The sequence below is a fragment of the Homo sapiens genome, chromosome 17, assembly GCF_000001405.40.
Source record: "Homo sapiens chromosome 17, GRCh38.p14 Primary Assembly".
NCBI lineage: Eukaryota > Metazoa > Chordata > Mammalia > Primates > Hominidae > Homo > Homo sapiens.
The window spans coordinates 41688583-41710006 of NC_000017.11; the positions used below are offsets into that span (position 1 = coordinate 41688583).

The 21424-nt window shown below is 48.7% G+C and overlaps 1 protein-coding gene across 1 annotated transcript, besides 7 other annotated features; it reads left to right on the forward strand.

The window, feature by feature from the left end:
• Nucleotides 4–912: an enhancer, noted in NCBI's record as "NANOG-H3K27ac-H3K4me1 hESC enhancer chr17:39844838-39845746 (GRCh37/hg19 assembly coordinates)". NCBI's record gives its function as "activates a minimal SCP1, AML or CMV promoter by ChIP-STARR-seq in primed H9 embryonic stem cells {active_cell/tissue: H9 hESC(primed)}" and the evidence as "EXISTENCE:reporter gene assay evidence [ECO:0000049][PMID:30033119]".
• Nucleotides 128–517: a silencer, noted in NCBI's record as "silent region_8498". NCBI's record gives its function as "represses an Ori minimal core promoter by ATAC-STARR-seq in GM12878 lymphoblastoid cells {active_cell/tissue: GM12878}" and the evidence as "EXISTENCE:reporter gene assay evidence [ECO:0000049][PMID:35858748]".
• EIF1 (eukaryotic translation initiation factor 1) lies at nt 303–4086 on the forward strand. Its single transcript, NM_005801.4, has 4 exons — nt 303–487; nt 1196–1359; nt 1506–1607; nt 2200–4086. The coding sequence occupies exons 1-4, from the start codon at nt 457–459 to the stop codon at nt 2242–2244; spliced, it is 342 nt and encodes a 113-aa protein (NP_005792.1). The 5' UTR covers nt 303–456; the 3' UTR covers nt 2245–4086.
• Nucleotides 898–987: an enhancer, noted in NCBI's record as "active region_12171". NCBI's record gives its function as "activates an Ori minimal core promoter by ATAC-STARR-seq in GM12878 lymphoblastoid cells {active_cell/tissue: GM12878}" and the evidence as "EXISTENCE:reporter gene assay evidence [ECO:0000049][PMID:35858748]".
• Nucleotides 898–1821: a biological region, named in NCBI's record as "NANOG-H3K27ac-H3K4me1 hESC enhancer GRCh37_chr17:39845747-39846655".
• Nucleotides 913–1821: an enhancer, noted in NCBI's record as "NANOG-H3K27ac-H3K4me1 hESC enhancer chr17:39845747-39846655 (GRCh37/hg19 assembly coordinates)". NCBI's record gives its function as "activates a minimal SCP1, AML or CMV promoter by ChIP-STARR-seq in primed H9 embryonic stem cells {active_cell/tissue: H9 hESC(primed)}" and the evidence as "EXISTENCE:reporter gene assay evidence [ECO:0000049][PMID:30033119]".
• Nucleotides 16470–17262: an enhancer, noted in NCBI's record as "OCT4-NANOG-H3K27ac-H3K4me1 hESC enhancer chr17:39861304-39862096 (GRCh37/hg19 assembly coordinates)". NCBI's record gives its function as "activates a minimal SCP1, AML or CMV promoter by ChIP-STARR-seq in naive H9 embryonic stem cells {active_cell/tissue: H9 hESC(naive)}" and the evidence as "EXISTENCE:reporter gene assay evidence [ECO:0000049][PMID:30033119]".
• Nucleotides 19587–20114: an enhancer, noted in NCBI's record as "OCT4-NANOG hESC enhancer chr17:39864421-39864948 (GRCh37/hg19 assembly coordinates)". NCBI's record gives its function as "activates a minimal SCP1, AML or CMV promoter by ChIP-STARR-seq in primed H9 embryonic stem cells {active_cell/tissue: H9 hESC(primed)}" and the evidence as "EXISTENCE:reporter gene assay evidence [ECO:0000049][PMID:30033119]".

Genomic DNA, 21424 nt, shown 5'->3' on the forward strand with positions numbered 1-21424 from the left:
GTAGGCGCGCTCGAAACCTGGGCCGGTATTCTCGGCACCCAGACACCGTCCACTCGCACTGCGCAGGCTCCGAGACAGATCAAGCTTTCCCTCCCCCTCCCAGCTCTCCTAGAGTCAAGAGGACGCCCTCCTGCCGCAGACTTCCTGCGCAAGCGCCATCCCATGTCCCCGCCTCCAAACCAATTGGAAGCGGCGCCGCCTGGGCGCTTGGGGCACGACGCTGTGGGTGGGGTCAGGACGTGAGGGCAGCGCGCTGGCGTCAGAGGCGCGGCTATATAACTAAACACAGGCACCGCCCCTCTGCCCCAGTCACTGAGCCGCCGCCGAGGATTCAGCAGCCTCCCCCTTGAGCCCCCTCGCTTCCCGACGTTCCGTTCCCCCCTGCCCGCCTTCTCCCGCCACCGCCGCCGCCGCCTTCCGCAGGCCGTTTCCACCGAGGAAAAGGAATCGTATCGTATGTCCGCTATCCAGAACCTCCACTCTTTCGGTAAGCTATGGGAAAGGTCGCGGGCCCGGGTGGGGCAGCGGGGCCTTCCGGGCCCGGAGACGTGTTCCGGGAAGTTGCCAAGCGCTCCGGGCCTTCGTAAGCTCGGGCAGGGGAAACTTGACCAGGGTCGCAGGGCAGCGGGATCAAGGCCTGGGCCCCGGGGTCGGACCCTGAGCGCGACCGGAAGGAGCAGGCGGTAGGTCAGCCCTTGGGCGGGCCCGGCGTCTCAGTGGCGCATTTACTAATGGCTCCTGGGCCTCCTCGGGCCACACCCGCCCCTCCCGTCACCATTGCGTCACGTCCGTTACGTCACCACCCGTTGTCACGGATCCGGAGGGAAAGGCGGTGCCAGCCCTAAGTGGCAAGCGGGTGCACCAATGGGGGTGGGAGGCTTAGCCCCGCCTCGGGAGCTCGGGTTCCGGCGGGTTGCATCAGCTGGGTGGGGCACCGCCTGGCAGCCCGGACTCCCCCGACATGTGATCGGCTTCCCAGGGAGGGCGGGAGGCCCGGGCGTTCCCCGAGCCTGGGGAAGCTGGCCGTCCCGGACTGACCTGCTCGGGGAGAGCCAGCAAAGGACACATTCGGCCTGGCCCAAGCCCTGACGATTTCAGTGTTGTTTTCTGCACGCGCAAAACACCTGGGGACCGAGGGGATGGCAGTGGCATCCTATCTTTGACAGCTCTGAACGAGCTTAACCTTTTTTTTCAGACCCCTTTGCTGATGCAAGTAAGGGTGATGACCTGCTTCCTGCTGGCACTGAGGATTATATCCATATAAGAATTCAACAGAGAAACGGCAGGAAGACCCTTACTACTGTCCAAGGGATCGCTGATGATTACGATAAAAAGAAACTAGTGAAGGCGTTTAAGAAAGTAGGTCTTCAGTGAGATTTTGGGAAAGTCATAATGGATTTGTCCACAAGGGGGTGCCAGCTGTGTTGTATGTATTGTTAGCGGAAGGGGTGATAAATGCGTTCATGCTCTTGCTAGGCCTAATTCGTTTTCCTTTGTGCTTGCAGAAGTTTGCCTGCAATGGTACTGTAATTGAGCATCCGGAATATGGAGAAGTAATTCAGCTACAGGGTGACCAACGCAAGAACATATGCCAGTTCCTCGTAGAGGTGAGTTCAGTCACTACTTGATTTGTGCCTCTCTGCTGGCAAATCTCAGATCCTGTCTGTTAGCTTCTGCTGGGGACATAAAAGTTGGCTTTGTAAGGCTGAGCAAAACCTCAGTTGGGTTTTAAAGTACATAGACTTATTTCTGTTTTATAGGAAAAAGCAGAAGGGACTTGTCTACCTTTGGTTTACTGTTTCTGTGGATCTACTTCACAGATGCAAATTTGAATAGCATATAGATGCATTGTAAAATAAGCCAAATGCTGGGTTGTTCCTGTATTTGTAAGGACATGAGTTTTTAAAAATGAATTTCCTGAGTATTAATACTAAAATACTGTTACATGATCAGCTCTTGATATAATTGAAGAGATTTCAGATACCTGATGAGTCTCATTCTCACACTAATTCAGAACCTTGGAAGGCACTGAGTGTTCAAAAAAGGTAGCTCTTAACTGAGGACCCTCTGTTGAACCATTGTGCGCACCCCTGGCTCTTGGGCAGTGTAGTAGCAGGAAGACAGGGTTGTTGCCATTAGAAATGGAGGCTTTAACTCTCCCTGTCCCCCATTTAAAACTTTGCCCTTTTGTCTTTTCAGATTGGACTGGCTAAGGACGATCAGCTGAAGGTTCATGGGTTTTAAGTGCTTGTGGCTCACTGAAGCTTAAGTGAGGATTTCCTTGCAATGAGTAGAATTTCCCTTCTCTCCCTTGTCACAGGTTTAAAAACCTCACAGCTTGTATAATGTAACCATTTGGGGTCCGCTTTTAACTTGGACTAGTGTAACTCCTTCATGCAATAAACTGAAAAGAGCCATGCTGTCTAGTCTTGAAGTCCCTCATTTAAACAGAGGTCAAGCAATAGGCGCCTGGCAGTGTCAAGCCTGAAACCAAGCAATACCGTCATGTTTCAGCCAAGCCCAGAGCCCTAAGATTACAAACAACTATGGCCGGAACCTCCTCAGCTCTCCCTCTGCAGAGTTCCCTACCCTAAGAGAATGTTACCACCTGAACAGTCCTCGGTGAATCTGAGAGGAGAGGATGGGGTAAGGCAGAAGCACCAGCTGTACTACTAGAAGGGAGCTTTTGGTGGTAGATCCCCTGGTGTCTCCAACCTGACTAGGTGGACAGAGCTCAAAGAGGCCCTCTTACCGCTAGCGAGGTGATAGGACATCTGGCTTGCCACAAAGGTCTGTTCGACCAGACATATCCTAGCTAAGGGATGTCCAAACATCAGAATGTGAGGCCAACCTTCTATCAGAGTTAAACTTTTGACAAGGGAACAAATCTCAAACTGATCCATCAGTCATGTAGCTAGCTGTAGAGCTTGCAACTTAATAGCAGCAGCTGCCCAATGCCATGTGAAGTAACAAACTGGTTTTTGGTTTTTTTTTCCCCTTCAGTTTTAATGTTATGTGTAATGTATTTAAACCCTTATTTAAATAAAACTTGTTTTCAGAAATACCTGACTTGCAGATTATTTATATATAGTCGATCTTGTGCATATAAAGGAACCATAGAAATGGGCAGTGGAGGATTCGTCCACACCCACAGCTTCTCAACGGGCCTGAATTTGGCCAAGAAAAACCTTTATGAGCTTGTCCCTCTCTGGTCAACTGGTTTTTTGTTCGTTTGTTTTTTGAGACAGGTTTGCCCTTGTTGCCCAGGCTGGAGTGCAGTGGCACAATCTCGGCTCACTGCAACCTCCACCTCAGGTTCAAGCAATTGTCGTGCCTCAGCCTCCCTAGTAGCTGGGATTACAGGCACCATGCCCAGCTAACTTTTGTATTTTTAGTAGAGACAGGGTTTCTCCATGTTGGCCAGGCTGGTCTTGAACACCTGGCCTCAAGTGATCTGCCTGTCTTGGCCTCCCAAAGTGCTGGGATTACAGGCATGAGCCACCATGCCCAGCAGGTCAACTGTTTTTGCAAGCATTTAGCCAGAGTCATGCTGTGCTGTTAATCAGTGTCCTGGAGAATGGGTTGCTTGGAAATCTTGGCGCCCCCTCAGTAGTAACAGCCTTGGTTTAAGGGCGCAGAGTGGAGAGTAAATGCAAGGGCTATAACAAGGGCATTCATGCTGTGGGTTAAGATCCACAAATCGCTAGGAATGTGTATACTCTGGGTAGTAAGTTTGTAGTATTAGAAGGTTTAATGACAAGTATTTGAAGAGCTGAAGTTAAGTGTTGGGAGGCCATCCCTTATGAAGGACAATGAATGGCAAGTAAAAGACCAAGTTCTGTTCCTGGGTCCATTAATTTAGTTAAAAAGGCAAAGTTCTTTCAGCACACATATCTGCATGCAGTCACGTGCTGCCTAAGGATGCTTCATTCAACAATGAGCCTCACAGCCGTGCTACACAATAAGATTATAATACTGTATTTTTACTGTACCTTTTAACATTGTGTTACAATGGCCTACAAGAAGCTTGTGTGGATGGCTTTGAATGTGGCCCAACACGAACTAATAAATTTTGCTAAAACATGAGTTTTGTTTGGTGACTTTTTTTTTTTTCTTTTTAGTTCATCAGCTATTGTTGGTGTATTTTATGTGTGGCCCAAGACAATTCTTCCAGTGTGGCCCAGGGAAGTGAAAAGATACGACACCCCTGGCCTACAATTTCAGCACAGTAACGTGCTGTACAGGTTTGTAGCCTAGGAGCAACAGGCTGTGTCATATAACCTAGGCATGTAGTAGGCTGTGCCATCCAGGTGTGCGTAAGTACACGATGATGTTCGTAGAAAACACAAAATCGCCTAACGATGCGTTTCTCAAAACATGTCCCTGTCATTGAGTAATGCAAGACTACTAAGTTTACTACCAGCCCATTTTGTAGATAAAGGTACAAGCGGTGAGTTAGGTTAGAGCCCAGGTTGGGAAAGAGCATAGAACCAGGTGAGTTGTGGAGGAGGGCTGGTGAGGTTGAGCCAATGGCAACTGCCCTAAAACTAGGAGGTGATTGTGTTAGAATACAGCAGACTGAATAATTGATAGAGATTTATTTGGCTCACAGAAGTCGAAAGGCATGGCATTGGCATCTGGTGAGGGCCTTCTTACTGCATCATAACATGGTGGAAGGGCTGGACAGCAAATGGGGGCCAAACCTATACTGTTGTGAGCCCACTTCATTCATGAGGGCAGAGGCTCAGGACCTAATACCTTTAAAAACCCCACCTTGGCCAGCCACAGTTGCTCACACCTGTAATCCCAGCACTTGCCAAGGGGGGTGAATCCTTGAGACCAACCTGGGCAACGTGGCACAACCCTATCTCTACAAACAATACAAAAATTAGCCAGGCATGATGGCACACACCTGTAGTCCCAGCTACTTAGGAGGCTGAGGCAGGAGGAAGGACGATCACTGGTGCCCAGGAAGCCAAGGCTATAGTTAGCTGTGATCATGTCACTGCCACTGTACTCCAGCCTGGGTGACAGAGTCTCCAAAAAAAAAAAAAAAAAAGCGCCCCACCTCCCAATAACTGTTCAATTGGCAATTAAATTTCAACATGGGTTTTGGTTTGGGTGGAGCATTCAAACTATAGCAATGATTCTAACCCCAGCATCAGGAGCTTGTCGTGTTAAAGGTCCTACAAAACCAGTCTGTTTCATGAACACAAAATAATTTAGCCTTGGAGCCAACCAAGGCTCCAAATACAGTGGCATTGTTCAAAATATTTGAGTGAATTTTTTTTTTTTTTGAGATGGAGTCTTGCTCTGTTGCCCAGACTGGAGTGCAATGGCACGGTCTCGCCTCACTACAGTTTCTGCCTCCCAGGTTCGAGCGATTCTCCTGCCTCAGCCTCCCGAGTAGCTGGGACTACAGGCACGTGCCACCACGACTGGCTAATTTTTGTATTTTTAGTAGAGACAGGGTTTCACCATGTTGGCCAGGATGGTCCCGATCTCCTTGACCTTGTGATCCGCCTGCCTCAGCCTCCCAAAGTGCTGGGATTACAGGCATGAGCACCGTGCCTGGCTGGGTGAGACTTTTAAATCAGTAAGATTTGACTGTAATGTAGGAGGTTTTTTCTTGGAGGAACTTCTAGAGCAAGGCGGGAGGCCAAACACACAAAATACTACAATCAGGATGAAACAGCAAGAGAAGAGAATTCCTTCTATGCTGTAGGTTGTGAACACGGCCAGGTTCTGTGCTAGGCTGTTCCATCTCATGCTTTTTAAGGACCTCCAATTCTCTAGGATGGGATTATTCCAAGTTAAACCATCAACATCTATTAAATCAGCTCTGTGAAGCCAAGCGAAACAAGTATCTGTGAACACAGAACTGAGGAAGTTGGTGAACACCCTTATCCACCTGATGTAACCTATCTCAGGCTGAATGAAGAAAAGTATAATTAAAAAGTCATGATGGGCCGGGCGCGGTGGCTCACATCTGTAATCCTAGCACTTTGGGAGGCCAAGACAGGCGGATTGCCTGAGCTCAGGAGTTCGAGACCAGCCTGGGCAACAACGGTGAAACCCTGTCTCTACTAAAATACAAAAAATTAGCCGGGCATGGCGGCGTGCGCCTGTAGTCCCAGGTGGGAGGCTGAGGCAGGACAATCGCTTGAACCCAGGAGGCAGAGGTTGCAGTGAGCCAAGATTGCGCCACTGCACTCCAGCCTGGGCAACAGAGCGAGACTCCGTCTCCAAAAAAAAAAAAGAAGGCATGATGGCTGGTTATGGTGGCTCATGCCTGTAATCCCAGCACTTTGAGAGACCAAGGCAGGCAGATTGCTTGAGTCCAGGACTTCGAGACCAGCCTGGGCAACATGACTAAACCCTGTCTCTACAAAAAATACAAAAATTAGCCAGGCGTGGTGTTGCATGCCTATGCTCCCAGCTACTGGGGAGGCCAAGGTGGGAAAATGGCTTGAGCCCAGGAGGCAGAGGTCGCAGTGCGCCAAGATGGCACCACTGCACTCCAACCTGGGTGACAGAGATAGACACTGTCTCAAAAAAAGAAAACAATGTGATGTGGACATTCCCAAGGTAAGTTGTGGAGCCTCATCTAGAACCCAGGACTCCCTGTGTACCCCTCCTCCCACCAGCTGCACCTGTACATTCACAATTTCTGTAACTCATTTTCCCGGTGGAGTGGGAGCAGAAATAAATAAATAAATGCTCATCTTACAGAGATTGTTGAGTGCTTGGTATCTGTAGTACACTACAGGGCATGTCAGGCAGACCCCCTGCACTCAGGGAGCTGACTGCCTGGTAGGTAGATGTAAGACCAGCACACAGCCTTGACGCAGGACAGAAAGGGACCCAAAGAGCCACAGGATCTCTGAGGACTGCGAAATCTTCCCCACTCCCATCCTCAGCCAAGGGGGCCAAGAAGGCTTCATAAAGGAGGTGCTGTCTGAAGCCAAGCATTTCGAGCAGAGAAAAAGAGTCACACCCAGAGGTGAAAAGGCACCTGGAAGCCGGCGCAGTGGCTCACGCCTGTAATCCCAGCACTTAGGGAGGCCAAGGCCAGCAGATCACTTGAGGTCAGGAGTTCGAGGCCAGCCTGGTCAACATGGCGAAATCCCATTTCTACTAAAAATACAAAAATTAGCTGGGCGTGGTGGCGGGCGAGATCGTGCCACTGCACTCCAGCCTGGGCAACAGAGCGAGACTGCGTCTCAAAAACAAAAACAACAACAAAAAAAAGAAAGATTGATTATGCTGAAAAGGTCCCTCAGCTCTCTGCTCCTTAGTCCTCCTCTCCCACCCCAAACCCCCCCAGCCCTCCTGCCCCCATCCCCACACGCTGCAACAGCTACACGCAAGGACAAACTGAGTGTTTCTTAAGATGGTGTTATGAAGACAAAATGAAAACTGGTCAGCTAAAACTGCATAAGAAGCTACAAAACAACTTTAGAACCTATTCCAATTGCTGTCAACTCTATGAATAAGCCAGAAAAACACATAGCATATTTGGAGAACTGAACATGACCCCCTTCCTGGTTTATCAGCCTCGATGGTGCCCCCTTGTGGCAGTAGTGTAAAAACACAGTTTACTGTGCACAAGGCTTTACAATTTTTCAATTAAGAGCTCCTTGACCAATTTTTAACTTTTTTTTTGGTGGGGGGACAGAGTCTCACTCTGTTTCCCAGGCTGGAGTGCAGTGGGGTCTCCTGCTAGGCACCATGCACCCTTGTTGCCCCCTCCTGCTCAAGCCTCTCATTTCTTCCACTCTCTAAATGCAAGCGTTCCCAAGGGATTGTCCTGACTGTCCTTCCCTCTCCCTTGGTGGTCTCACCCTATATCATGGCTTTGTTTGTCTTCAGTGTTCCTGATCCTAAGGCTCTGTGTCCAGCTACGACTTCTCGTCCAAGTCCAGACTCCATCGATAGCTCTTTGCCGCGTTCATTCATTCATTCATTCATTCATGCCTATGGAGCACTCACTCAGTGCAGGTGCTGTGCCAGGTGTGGGGGCCCAGTGATGAACAAGAGAAACCACACTCCTCGTGGGGTTTGCAGTACTGCAGTCGGAGAGTCAGATTCTAAACCAATCATCGTATAAATACTGAAGAATTTAAACTGTGTTTAGAAGGGGCCACATTCGGGTCTGTGACAGGGAGAGGCACAATCTCTCTTCTTCCTGCTTTTTTTTCTCCATAGCACAACTATATGACCTATTTGTAGGGCAACAATATAATTTATTTGTTCATTTGATTTTGGCCATCTTCCCCCACTAGAACATAAGTTCTGTGTGGGCAGAAACCTTTGTCCAGGGCTGTATCCCCAGTGCCTGCAAGAGAGTCTGGCACATACTAGGTGCTGAATACGTGTTTATTGGATGAATGAATGGGTCAGACTACGCGAAGTTTAAAATCGACAGAGTTACCCTCTATAAATTATGTGACTTGCTAGGGCCAGGCACGGTGGCTCACGCCTGTAATCCCAGCACTTTGAGAGGCCAAGGCAGGCGGATCACTTGAGGTGAGAGGTTCGAGACCAGGCTAGGCAACATGGAGAAACCCCGTCTCTCCTAAAAAAAAAAAAAAAAAGAGAGAGAGTTATGTGACTTACTCTCTCCCCTTTGCATCCCTACTTGGTAGAGCCGGAGGGAAAGGCTGGAATTACATCAGTAGTTCTCAGAGTCTGGAGACTATGTTAGTTGCCTGGGGTGGGGGTGGGAGAGAAGAGATGTATACTACTGGTATCCAGTAAGAAGTGGTCAGAGATGCTGCTAAACATCCTGTGACCCATGGAACAGCCTCTTACCCCCACACAAATAACTATCTGGCCCAAAATATCAACAGTGCTGAGGTTGGGAAACCCTGGGTCACATGAACCTCTGGGAACTGTCATAAACCCGGGCAAGCTTTTCAGAGTCACCCACGTGACTGCCTTCTATCCTGTGTCCCGCAGCCAAGCAGCTGCTGTCTCTCTCAGTGAGTCTCAACACTTTTTGGACCCAATAATCCTTTCCCCTGTTATATCAGCAATCTAGAGGACTAACTTGAGAATTTTAGATCTTTTTCATCATATGCCTGGTATATGCTGGGAATTTTATTTTATTTATTTATTTATTTGAAATAGATAAAGGCAGGATCTCACTGTATTGCCCAGGCTGGTCTCAAACTCTTGGACTCAAGTGATCCTCCTGCCTCTGCCTCCCAAAGTGCTGGGGATTACAGGCATGAGCCACCATGCCCAGACTATGCTAGGAATTTTAAGTAAAAGATAATTGGTTGGTAAATTATATGATAGTTTCTTCCTTCTCTAAAGTGCATTTAAAGTATAATCTGTGGTAATCATACCATTCAAAGACTATTTTGACTTTCTCCGTTAAAAAAGTGACAAAACACAGTGTTTATTTATTTATTTTAGATCTCCCAGGGACTCACTAACAAACATTGTATATATAATTGGAAGAGAAAGCAAGCCTAGTGTGGTGGTATGTGCCTGTAGTCCCAGCTACTCAGGAGACTGAGGCAGGAGGATCACTTGAGCCTAGGAGTTTGAGGCTGCAGTGAGTTATGATCACGCCACGGCACTCCAGCCTGGATGACAGAGTGAGATCCTGTCTCAAAAAAAAAAAAAAGAGAAAAAAGAAAAGTGCCAAACAAATTGAAAAGTGATATTACATTATGTTTGGTTATGAGAACACATATATATTAAAATGCAGATTTAGGCCGGTCGTGGTGACTCACACCTGTAATCCTTACACTTTGGGAGGCTGAGGCGGACGGACCACCTGAGGTCAGGAGTTTGAAACCAGCCTGGCCAACATGGCGAAACCCCGACTCTACTAAAAATACAAAACTTAGCGAACTGTGGAGGTGTGTGCCTGTAATCCCAGTTACTCAGGAGGCTGAAGCACTAGAATCACTTGAACCCGGGAGGCAGAGATTACAGTGAGCCGAGATGGCGTCACTGCACTCCAGCCTGGGCGGCAGAGCAAGACTCCATCTCAAAGTAAAATAAAATAAAATGCAGATTTAGATTTCATTATGAGTGTTTTATTAACACTAAAGCTCATTAGGATCCCCTGCTTACACTCACTACATTAAAATTTGAATTTATAACTCGTGTATTTTTCCCTAGAGCATGATATAAGACAGTTTCAGGATACTCATATCCAAGGAGTTTGCGAATAGTACGTGAGAGATGTAGGCTGTCCTTGGTCCCCATAAATGAAAAGCCAAGGCCGGGTGCGGTGGCTCACACCTGTAATCCCAGCACTTTGGAAGGCTGAGGTGGGCGGATCACGAGGTCAGGAGTTCAAGACCAGCCTGGCCAACATGGTGAAACCACGTCTCTACTAAAAATACAAAAATTAGCCAGGTGTGGTGGTGCACGCCTGTAATTCCAGCTACTCAGGAGGCTGAGGCAGGAGAATTGCTTGAACCTGGGAGGCTAAAGTTTCAGTGAGCTGAGATGGCACCATTGCACTCCAGCCTGGGCAACATAGCGAGACTCTGTATCAGAAAGAAAAAAAAGAAAAGCCAAATCAGATATAACCGTCACTGAATTTTCTCTGTCAGCATTGTTTGTGACATCCTGGAGCCCTCTTAATCGGTTGACCTGCGAGTCTGGTGAGGCTCAGTGGGAGTGGCTGGGTAGATCACCATCACTTCGCCACCTGCAGCAGTTCTCGCCTGAGACTCTGAGGCCTGAGCCCAGGCTTGGTATCACTGAAGGGCTCCCTGTTTGATTCCCCTGCCAGCCAGATACCCACACCTCTCACCTAATGCAATGATGCTCGATCCATACTCAATTCATAACTGTCGCTTTCTATGCTTCTACTGTCCGTTTTTGTGTGCTCCAATGCAGATCTAAAACTGCGATGGAATGTGCACTTATAAAAACAATGCCACTGTCTTTTTTTAACCAGTGAACAGATTGCAATATAAAGTCCACTAAAGCCAGGCGCGGTGACTCACACTTGTAATCTCAGCACTTTGGGAGGCTGAGGCGGGTGGATCACCTGAGGTCAGGAGTTCGAGACCAGCCTGACCAACATGGTAAAAACCCCTCTCTACTAAAAATACAAAAATTAGCTGGGCGCGGTGGCTCACGCCTGTAATCCCAGCACTTTGGGAGGCTGAGATGGGCAGATCATGAGGTCAGGAGATCAAGACCATCCTGGCTAACACAGTGAAACCCTGTCTCTACTAAAAATACAAAAAATTAGCTGGGCGTGGTGGTGGATGCCTGTAGTCCCAGCTACTCGGGAGGCTGAGGCAGGAGAATGGCATGAACCCAGGAGGCGGAGCTTGCAGTGAGCCGAGATCGGGCCACTGGACTCCAGCCTGGGCGACAGAGCGAGACTCCGTCTCAAAAAAAAAAAAAAAATACAAAAATTAGCTGGGCGTGGTGGCGGGCGCCTGTAATCCCAGCTAATTGGGAGGCTGAGGCAGGAGAATCGCTTGAACCCAGAAGGCAGAGGTTGTAGTGAGCCGAGATAACGCCACTACACTCCAGCCTGGGCAACACAGCAAGACACCGTCTCAAAAAAATAAATAAATAAAATTAAAAAAAATAAAGTCTGCTAATTTTATGGTCTAAAGTGCTGCATTTCAAACTTTTTTCTTTTTTTTTTTTGAGACTGAATCTCGCTCTGTTGCCCAGGCTGGAGTGCAGTGGCACAATCTTGGCTCACTGCAAGCTCCACCTCCCAGGTTCATGCCATTCTCCTGCCTCAGCCTCCCGAGTAGCTGGGACTACAGGTGCCTGCCACCACGCTCGGCTAATTTTTTTTTTTTTTTGTAATTTTAGTAGAGACGGGGTTTCACCTGTGTTAGCCAGGATGGTCTCAATCTCCTGACCTCGTGATCCACCCACCTCAGTCTCCCAAAGTGCTGGGATTAGAGGCATGAGCCACCGAGCCCGGCCCTTTTCTTTTCTTTTTTTCTTTTTTTTTTTTTTTTTGAGACAGTCTTGCTCTGTCACCCAGTCTGGAGTGCAGAGGCACGATCCCAGCTCACTATAACCTCAGCCTCTTGGATTCAAGCGATTCCTGTGCCTCAGCCTCCCAAGTAGCTGGGATTACAGGCATGCACCAACACGCCCAGCTAATTTTTGTATTTTTAGTAGAGATGGGGTTTCATCATGTTGGCCAGGCTGGTCTCAAACACCTGACCCTCAAATGATCCACCCGCCTCAGCCTCCCAAAGTGCTGGGATTACAGGCGTGAGCCACTGCATCAGGCTATATCAGACTTTTTTTCAAGACAGGGTCTGGTTCTGTTACCCAAGATGGAGTGCAGTGGTGTGGTCATGGCTCGTTACAACTTCCGCCTCCCAAGCTCAAGTGATCCTCCTGCCTCAGCCTCCTGAGTAACTGGGACTACAGGCATGCCCCATCATGCCTGGCTAATTTTTGTATTTTTTGTAGAGGTGGGATCTCACTATGTTGTCCAGGCTGGTCTTGAACTCCTGGGCTTAAGTGATCCTCCCACTTTGCCCTCCCAAAGTGCTAGGATTATAGGCGTGAGCCACTGCATCTGGCCTTGAAACTGTTTAAAATGAAGATTGTTAAAATGGAGATTGATTCAGTAGATCTGGGGTAGAGCCTGAAATTCTGCACATCTATCAAGCTCCCAGGTGATGCTGAGCAGCAAAAATCTTTAGTTCTGTCTCCAAGGTGGGCAAGTCATAATCTCCCTGAACCTTATATTCCCCTTGTGCTTGTTTCCTCCTATATCACAGAAATGGAGCGAGAATTAATAACTAGACACACAAAGGGCATCATGTTTATGTTCAATGTTCACTTATTTTTCAACCTCTGTGCTCCCTCTGCTTCCTGTTTTTAACCAATTGCCCATTATGGGTATAAATTAACCATAAAGGACTATGATTAAAGACAATTTAAACTGTGCAGTGACCCGGGCTGCTGTGACTGGGTAACGGCTGGCAAGAGTGGCTGTGGATTGAGGGAGCCCGTTTGGACACCTGGGTGCCGCAGGGTCACGGCTCCTGCGTGTGGACCTCCTGTCCAACAAGCACTCTGTTTTAAAGGAGATTTTTTAATTTTACTATTTTTTAGAGTTGGAGTCTTACTCTGTCACCTAGGCTAGGGTGCAGTGTCACCATCTTAGCTCACTGCAACCTCCTCCTCCTGGGTTCAAGCCATTTTCCTGCCTCAGCCTCCTGAGTAGCTGGGATTACAGGCATGTGCCACCATGCCTGGCTAATTTTGTATTTTTAGTAGAGACGGGGTTTCTCCATATTGGTCAGGCTGGTCTTGAAAACCTGACCTCAGGTGATCCACCCGCCTTAGCATCCCAAAGTGTTGGGATTACAGGCGTGAGCCACTGCGCCAGGCCAATTTTTTTTTTTTTTTTTAAGACACAGTCTCACTCTGTTGCCCAGGCTGAGTACAGTGATCATAGCTCACTGCAGCCTCCAACTCCTGGTCTCAAGGGATGCTCCCACCTTGGCCTCTCAAAGTGCTGGAATTACACCCAACCAAAAAATCCATTCTTAATCTTAGCAACTCTATCATTTTTTTCTGTTTTTCTCAATCATTAATCTCCGATTTTATTATTTTTCTTTCTTCCTTATTTTCCTTGATTTTGTGGCTCTTTTTCTAACTTCTTGAGTTTAAAGATTCACACATTTATTTTAGTTCCTTTGTTTAATAATGAATGTTTTGTTTTATTTTGTTTGAGATAGGCCCTGGAGTGCACCAGACCCTATCACCCAGGCTGGAGTGCACTAGTGCAATCTGATCATAGCTCACTGCAGCCTCCAACTCCCGGGCTCAAGCAATCCTCTCGCCTCAGCCTCCCAAGTAGCTGGGACTTCAGGTTCACATTGCCACACCTGGCTTTTTTTTTAAGTAGAGACAGGGTCTCGCTATGTTGCCCAGGCTGGTCTCAGACTCCTGGGCTCAAGTGATCCTCTTACCTCAGCCTCCCAAAGTGCTGGGATTATTGCCGTGATCCACCATTACCGGCCATGAATACTTTTTAATGCTCTAAATTAGATTTGGTCCAGGCGCGGTGGTTCACATCTGTAATCCCAGCACTTTGGGAGGCCAAGGCGGGCAGATTGCTTAAACCTAGGAGTTCGGGACCAGCCCAGGCAACATGGCAAAATCCTGTCTCTACTAAAAAAAAAAAAAAAAAAATTAGCCAGTGCGGTGGTGTGTGCCTGCAATCCCAGCTGCTCAGGAGACTAACAGGGGAGAATCACTTGAGCCCAGGAAGCCAAGATTGCGCCACTGGACACCAGCCTGGGCAACGGGAGTGAGAGAGAGCCTGTCTCTAAATTAATAAATAAGATTTGGCACCATTTCTTTGTTTTGTTTTGTTTTGTTTTGTTTTGTTTGAGATAGTCTCACTCTTGTCACCCAGGCCAGAGTGCAATGGCGCAATCTCAACTCACTGCAACTTCCACCGCCCAGGTTCAAGCAATTATTCTGCCTCAGCCTCCCGAGTAGCTGGGCTTACAGGCACGCGACACCATATTCAGCTAATTTTTTGTATTATTAGTAGAGACGGGGTTTCACCATGCTGGCCAGGCTGAGGCAGAAGAATCACTTGAACCCGGGAGGCGGAGGTTGCAGTGAGCCAAGATCGTACCACTGCACTCTAGCCGGGGCAACAGAGTGAGACGCTGTCTCGAAAAAAAATAAAATAAAATAAAAAATAAATAAAAATATAAAAATTAGCCGGGTGTGGTGGTGAGCACCTGTAATCCTAGCTACGCGAGAGGCTGAGGCAGGAGAATCGCTTGAACCCTGGAGGCGGAGGTTGCAGTGAGCCGAGATCGCGCCATTGCACTCCAGCCTGGGCAACAAAAGCGAAACTCTGTCTCAAAAAAAAAAAAAAAAAAGGCCGGGTGCAGTGGCTCACACTTGTAATGCCAGCACTTTGGGAGGCCGAGGCGAGTGGATTGCCTGAGGTCAAGAGTTCGAGACCAGCCTGGCCAACATAGTGAAACCCCGTCTCTACTAAAAATACAAAAAATTTGCTGGGCGTGGTGGCAGGCACCTGTAATCCCAGCTACTTGGGAGGCTGAGGCAGAAGAATCACTTGAACCCAGGAAGCGGAGGTTGCAGTAAGCTGAGATCCTGCCATTGCACTCCAGCCTGGGCAACAGAGCGAGACTCTGTCTCAAAAAAAAAAAAGAATGAAGTTCTGATGTATACTACAACATGAATGAATCACAAATGCATCATGCTAAGTAAAATAACCCATACACAAAAGGCCGTATATTGTATGATTCCAATTAAATGAAAGTCTCAGAATAGGCAAATTCTTGGAGACAGAAAGTAGATTTGTGGTTTCCAGGGAAAAGGGGGAATGAGGAATGACTGCAAATGGGTGTGGGGTGATGAAAGTGTTCTGAATTAGATAATGGTGATAGTTGCACAAATGTGTGAACTAAAAGCCACTGAAGCTGGGCTTGGTGGCTTGCATCTCCAGTCCTAGCTACTTGGGAGGCTTAGGTGGGAGGATCATTGAGCCCAGAAGTTAGAGAATAGCCTGTGCAACACAGCAAAAAACCTGTCTTTGGCTGGGCACAGTGGCTCAAGTCTGTAATCCCAGCACTTTGGGAGCCCAATGCAGGAGGATCACCTGAATTCAAGACCGGCCTAGGCAATATAAGAAGACCCCAGCCAGGCGCAGTGACTCACGCCAGTAATCCCAGCACTTTGGGAGGCCGAGGCGGGCAGATCACTTGAGGTCAGAAGTTCGAGACCAGCCTGACCAACACGGTGAAACCCCATCTCTACTAAAAATACAAAAAATTAGCCAGATGTGGTGATGGGCGCCTGTAATACCAGCTACTTGGGAGGCTGAGGCAGGAGAATCACTTGAACTCGGGAGGTGGAGGTTGCAGTGAGCTGAGTTCATACCACTGCACTCCAGCCTGGGTGACAGAAGAAGACTCCGTCTCAAAAAAAAAAGAAAAAGAAAAAGAACTTGTCTCAAAAAGAAAGTAAATAATATAAAAGCCACTGAAGTGTATACTTTCAAAGGGCAAAAGGTATGGTATATAAACAATATCTAAATAAATGGCTTTTTTTTTTTTTTTTGGAGACAGTCTCACTCTGTTGCCCAGGCTGGAGTGCAGTGGTCTGATCTCGGCTCACTGCAACCTCTACCCCCTGGATTCAGGCAATTCTCCTGCCTCATCCTCCTGAGTAGCTGGATTACAGGCATGCGCTACCACTCCCAGCTAATTTTTGTATTTTTATTGGAGACGGGGGTTTCACCATGTTGGCCATGCTGGTCTCGAACTCCTGTTCTCAAGTGATCTGCCTGCCTCAGCCTCCCAAAGTGCTGGGATTACAGACATGAGCCACTGCGCCTGGCTAAATGGCTTATTTAAAAAAAAAAAAAAAAAAAAAAAAAGAATTGCATCATTTCCAAAGCTGGCTGGGTGGGCACATTATGAGCAGGGGTGTTGCCCTTGCCACATGGCAGCATCTCTCTGGCTCGTGGACAGAAATGACCTCTGCCGTCTGCCAGGGATCATTTGGAATCAGGTGGGTTTATATATGCAGCAAAACTTCAGTAAAGCTTGAAGAAACGCACTGATCCTTCTACCTTCTCTGAAATAACGTTCTCAATAGCGAGGTCATAGGCATAACCAGCCATCCAAACCTCCCCCATGGCCCCTTGAGCCCACCATGTGTCACTCCAACCCACCCCACTCCTGGGCTCAATAGACAACAAAGAAAAGGGAAGAGAAAGAACAAAGACCCCCCTCGATCACCATTGTGTCCCCAGGGTCAGAACAGTGCCTGACACAAAGCAGGCACTTGGAAAATTTGTGTTGAGTAAACAGATGCATGGATGAATGAGTGAATGAAAGAGTGAAAGCACACGGTCTCTAAGCAGGCAGGAGGGTCTGGGATGATGGGCCCTGGTGGAGGGGCTGACACTGAATGGGGTGACAGAACCTCCAGCGATGGAGGAAAGGAGGAAAGGACGGAAGCGGGACTTAGGCAGCTGTGTTCACGGTGGGGAAAAGGGGGCTGACGTCAAATGACCTTGGGAATGAAAGAGAAATGATTCACCACAGTTGCCAGTAACAACCAAGCTGCAGAATATTAATTTGCAATTGAATCAACTGGTCACTTTCGGAAACTTCCTGTCGGTTTTTGCAGGGAGTGGCAGGAGCTGAGGAAGGGGTCGGGGTGGCCTGTCAGGGACCTGGGACCAGCCTGGCAGGTTCAGAAGCAGGACAGGGGCAGCAATCTATGTGCATCACACAGAACTGAGATGACAAACCCTGGGAGGGGTAGGCGGGCTGGGAGGAGCCAGACAGTGGAGGAGCTGGAGGTCACAGTGAAGACAGATTCAGCAGGAGCGAGGCTTCTGGAGAGGGTGGGATGGGAAGCTGTGGGCCGAGAAGAGGCAGCAGCACATGGAGTCCAAGACCCGGGGGTTCCCCAACTCAGCTCCCTCACCTCCTACCTGTTGGGCCGGGGATGAGCCATTCAGCCTGGAACACACCCGAATAAAGACTCCTCTCATCCTCTCACAGAGGGGCCTTTAGGATTATTTTTCCCAGTTAAAACCACTGTTAGGCCAGGCGTGGTGGCCCATGCCTATAAATCCCAGGGCTTTGGGAGGCCAGGAGGGAGGATCACTTGAGGCCAGGTGATCCAAATACAAAGCCTGGGCTGAGAACCACTGCTTCGAAGGCACAGGTGGGCATCAGAGGAGAAAAGGAGAGAGGAGGCTCAGGAGAGAAGCGGAAGCCAGAGTAAGGGTAGCCACTACTCTCTGTCCTTGACAGCCCAGCCTGGGCCCAGGGGTGGTGGGCAGCCTCTCCAGCCCAGTCTGCAAGCAGCTTGCAGGCTGCCCTCTTGGCCCTGCCATGTCACCACTCTCAGACAGCAGCTGAGGCCAGAACCCAAGAACCCACCTCCCCCTACCTAGCCCCCTACCCCAGGGGGGATCATGGATGCCCTCATTGATGCAAACACCTTCCAGGTGTCACTGTTTGTCCCCAGAACTACCACATCCTCCAAAGCCCTGGTTGCCTGGGCCAGAATGATTGAGTCGTCATCAAGCTCTTCCTTTTCTGCCATCAATAACCAATTAGGAAGCCAAGGCACTGCCTCCCTGACAACGGTTTGCAGCTCATCAATAGTGATCTGTTTCCCAAAGCCAGCCCTGGCAGGCAGGAGTGTGCCTGGGTCCACTGAGAAGCCTCTCCCTCCTCAGGGAACAGTCTCCTTCACAGGGGACCCTTGTTTTTCTGTTACTCTTTTTTTTTTTTTTTTTTTTTTTTTTTTTTTTTTTTTTTTGAGACAGAGTCTCACTCTGTCGCCAGGCTGGAGTGCAGTGGCACGATCCCAGCTCACTGCACCCTCTGCCTCCCAGGTTCAAGCAATTCTCCTGCCTCAGCCTCCCAAGTAGCTGGGACTACAGGCACACACCACCACGCCCGGCTTTTTTTTTTTTTTTGTATTTTAGTAGAGACAGGGTTTCACCATGTTGCCCAGGCTGGTCTTGAACTCCTGAGCTCAGGCAATCTGCCCACCTTGGCCTCCCAAAGTGCTAGGATTACAGGCGTGAGCCACCACACCCGGCCGTGTGTTACTCTTTTATGCCCCTAGAATCTAAACTCCACCAAAGCAATGAAAGGGTCTGTCCTGTCATAGTCACCTGTTTTTTTTTTTGAGACAAAGCTTCACTCTTGTTGCCCAGGCTGGCGTGCAATCGCACAATCTCAGCTCATTGCAACCTCTGCCTCCCATGTTCAAGCAATTCTTCCACCTCAGCCTCCCAAGTAGCCAGGATTACAGACGTGCACCACCATGCCCGGCTAATTTTGTATTTTTTAGTAGAGACAGAGTTTCATCATGTTGGTCAGGCTGGTCTTGAACTCCCAAACTTAAGTGATCCACCCACCTCAGCCTCCCAAAGTGCTGGGATTACAGGCGTGAGCCGCTGCACCCAGCGCTGTCATATTCACCTCTTATCCCCAAGTAGCCTCATCTGTACCCTAGCTCACAGCAGGTGCTCAGTAATTGGAATGAATTTGGAATATTCGGATGGTCAGAATAACTCAAAGAACAGCTCCCTTCTTTGTATTTGAAAATTTACATGGAAATTCATGCTGGGCCAGTTTTTACTAAACAGAAACCTTCACAAGGCTGTGATCCCTTGTATCCATTTTTGATTGCTACCATAATAAGTCACCACAATTTAGAAGCTTAAAACAACAGCAATTTATTCTCTCGCGGTTCTGTAGGTCAGAAGTCCTGGTACAGAGTGGCTCACGGGGTCCCCTGATTAGGATCTCCCAAGGCCACAATCAGGTCGGCAGGGCTGCATTTCTTTCTGGAGGCTCTAGGGATGAATCCACTTCCAAGCTCATCCAGGTTGTTGGCCAGATTTCATTCTTTGTAGTTGCGGGGCTGACATTCCTCTTTCCTGGCTGTCGGTGGAGAACCTCTCAGCTCCTCAAGGCCACTGCTTTCCTCGTCCTGTTGCCCTCCTGCCATCTTCAGACCAGCAATTGCTTGTGGAGTCCTCATAACTCCAGCTCTCCGACCTGACCTTCAGCCACATCTCTTCTGCCTCTAGCTGAAGAAAGTTAAGGGCTATGTGATTACACTGGGCCCAGTCAGATAATCCAGCATAAACTCCCTAATTTTTTTTTTCAGAGACAGGGGTCTCACTATGTTGCCCAGGCTGGTCTCAAACTCCTGGGCTTAAGTGATCCTCCTGCCTCAGCCTCCAGAGTAGCTGGGACTACAGGCATGCACCACTGCACTTGGCATAAGCTCTCTATTTTAAAGCCAGTAACCTTAATCACACCTGCAACGTCTCTTTTGTTATGTAATCACATATTCACAGGTTCCAAGGATTGGGGCAGGAACATCTTTGGGGACATGATTGTTCTGCCTGCCACATTCCTACTGGGAGGATAGAGACCTGAGTTTCAGACCCACCTCTCCTTTTTGGTGTGTGGACTCAGGATGGGGATTACTTCACCTGTCTAAGCCTTAGTTTCTACTTCTTTTTTTTTTTTTTTTTTTTTTTTGAGACAGCGTCTCACTCTGTCTCCCAAGTACAGTGGCACAATCATGGCTCACTGCAACCTCACCTCCCCGGCTCAAGCAATCCTCCCACCTCAGCCTCCCAAATAGCTGGGACCACAGCCACGCACCACCACACCCAGCTAATTTTTGTATTTTTTGTAGAGATGGGGTTTTGCCATGTTGCCCAGGCTGGTCTTCAACTGTTGGGCTCAAGTAATCTGCCGGCCTCGGCCTCCCCAGGTGCTGGGATTACAGGCGTAAGCCCCCGTACCCATCAGTTTCTTCTGAAGAAGGGGTTCACACTAGCACTTAGGTCCTAGGATCATGGTGAAGAGTGATTGCATTCATTCATGCTAAGAGCTTATCAGTTCCTGGTACACGGCATTGTTATCGTTGTGATGACAGGGGCAGGGCCCACACACCTGCACCCTCGAGGGGGACGGAGATGGGTCCCAAGGTCTGGGATCTGGTCTTCAATTTGGTAGGCCCAGAAATTGAATTTTCTGCTCACCCAGCTAGTCGGTGTTAGAGCCATGATTCAAACCCTGGCCTCACCAGTTCCAAAACCCCCTGTACACCAGGAGGTCCAGCTTCCATAGACTCTATCCCTGCTGCCTCTTTCAGTGGCAGTTGGGCTGAGGTCCCTCTGAGTCACAGCTGGCAGGAGGGAAACCCTTGGATTCACAGAGTGATATGCTTAGGGAATTACCCTCCTTTAAGCCTTGGGGAAGGAGAACTCCCCCAAGTGTATAAAGCGTGTGCACAGACCTTGTCACCTCTTCCCTTCACTGCAGCCCTATGAGGTACAAATGAATGATTCCTATTTCCAAATGTGGTTAATTGAGACCCAGAGAGGATGGGGGAGAAGACGCAAAATGGATTAAATACCTGCGATATTCTCTTTTGTTTGTCTGTTTGTTTGAGACAGTCTCACTGTGTCACCCAGGCTGGAGTGCAATGGCACAATCTTGGCTCACTCCAACCTCCACTTCCTGGGTTCAAGCAATTCTCGTGCCTCAGCCTCCCAAGTAGCTGGGATTACAGGCATGTGCCACCACGCCCAGCTAATTTTTGTATTTTTAGTAGAAACGGGGTTTCACCATGTTGTTCAGGCTGGTCTCGAACTCCTGACCTCAGGTGATCTGCTTGCCTTGGCCTCCCAAAGTGCTGGGATCACAGGCATGAGCCACCGCACCCGGCCAAATATCTGCAATGTTTTGAGCACCGTGCAGGGCGCTTTATGTACATCACCTTCACGAGACCCTCCTCCCCAAGTTACTTTCCTCATTTCCTAGAGGAGAAAACAGCTCAGAGAAGGAGAGAAATATGCTCAAAGCTCAACAGCTGGAAAAAGACAGGACCAGGAAACCCT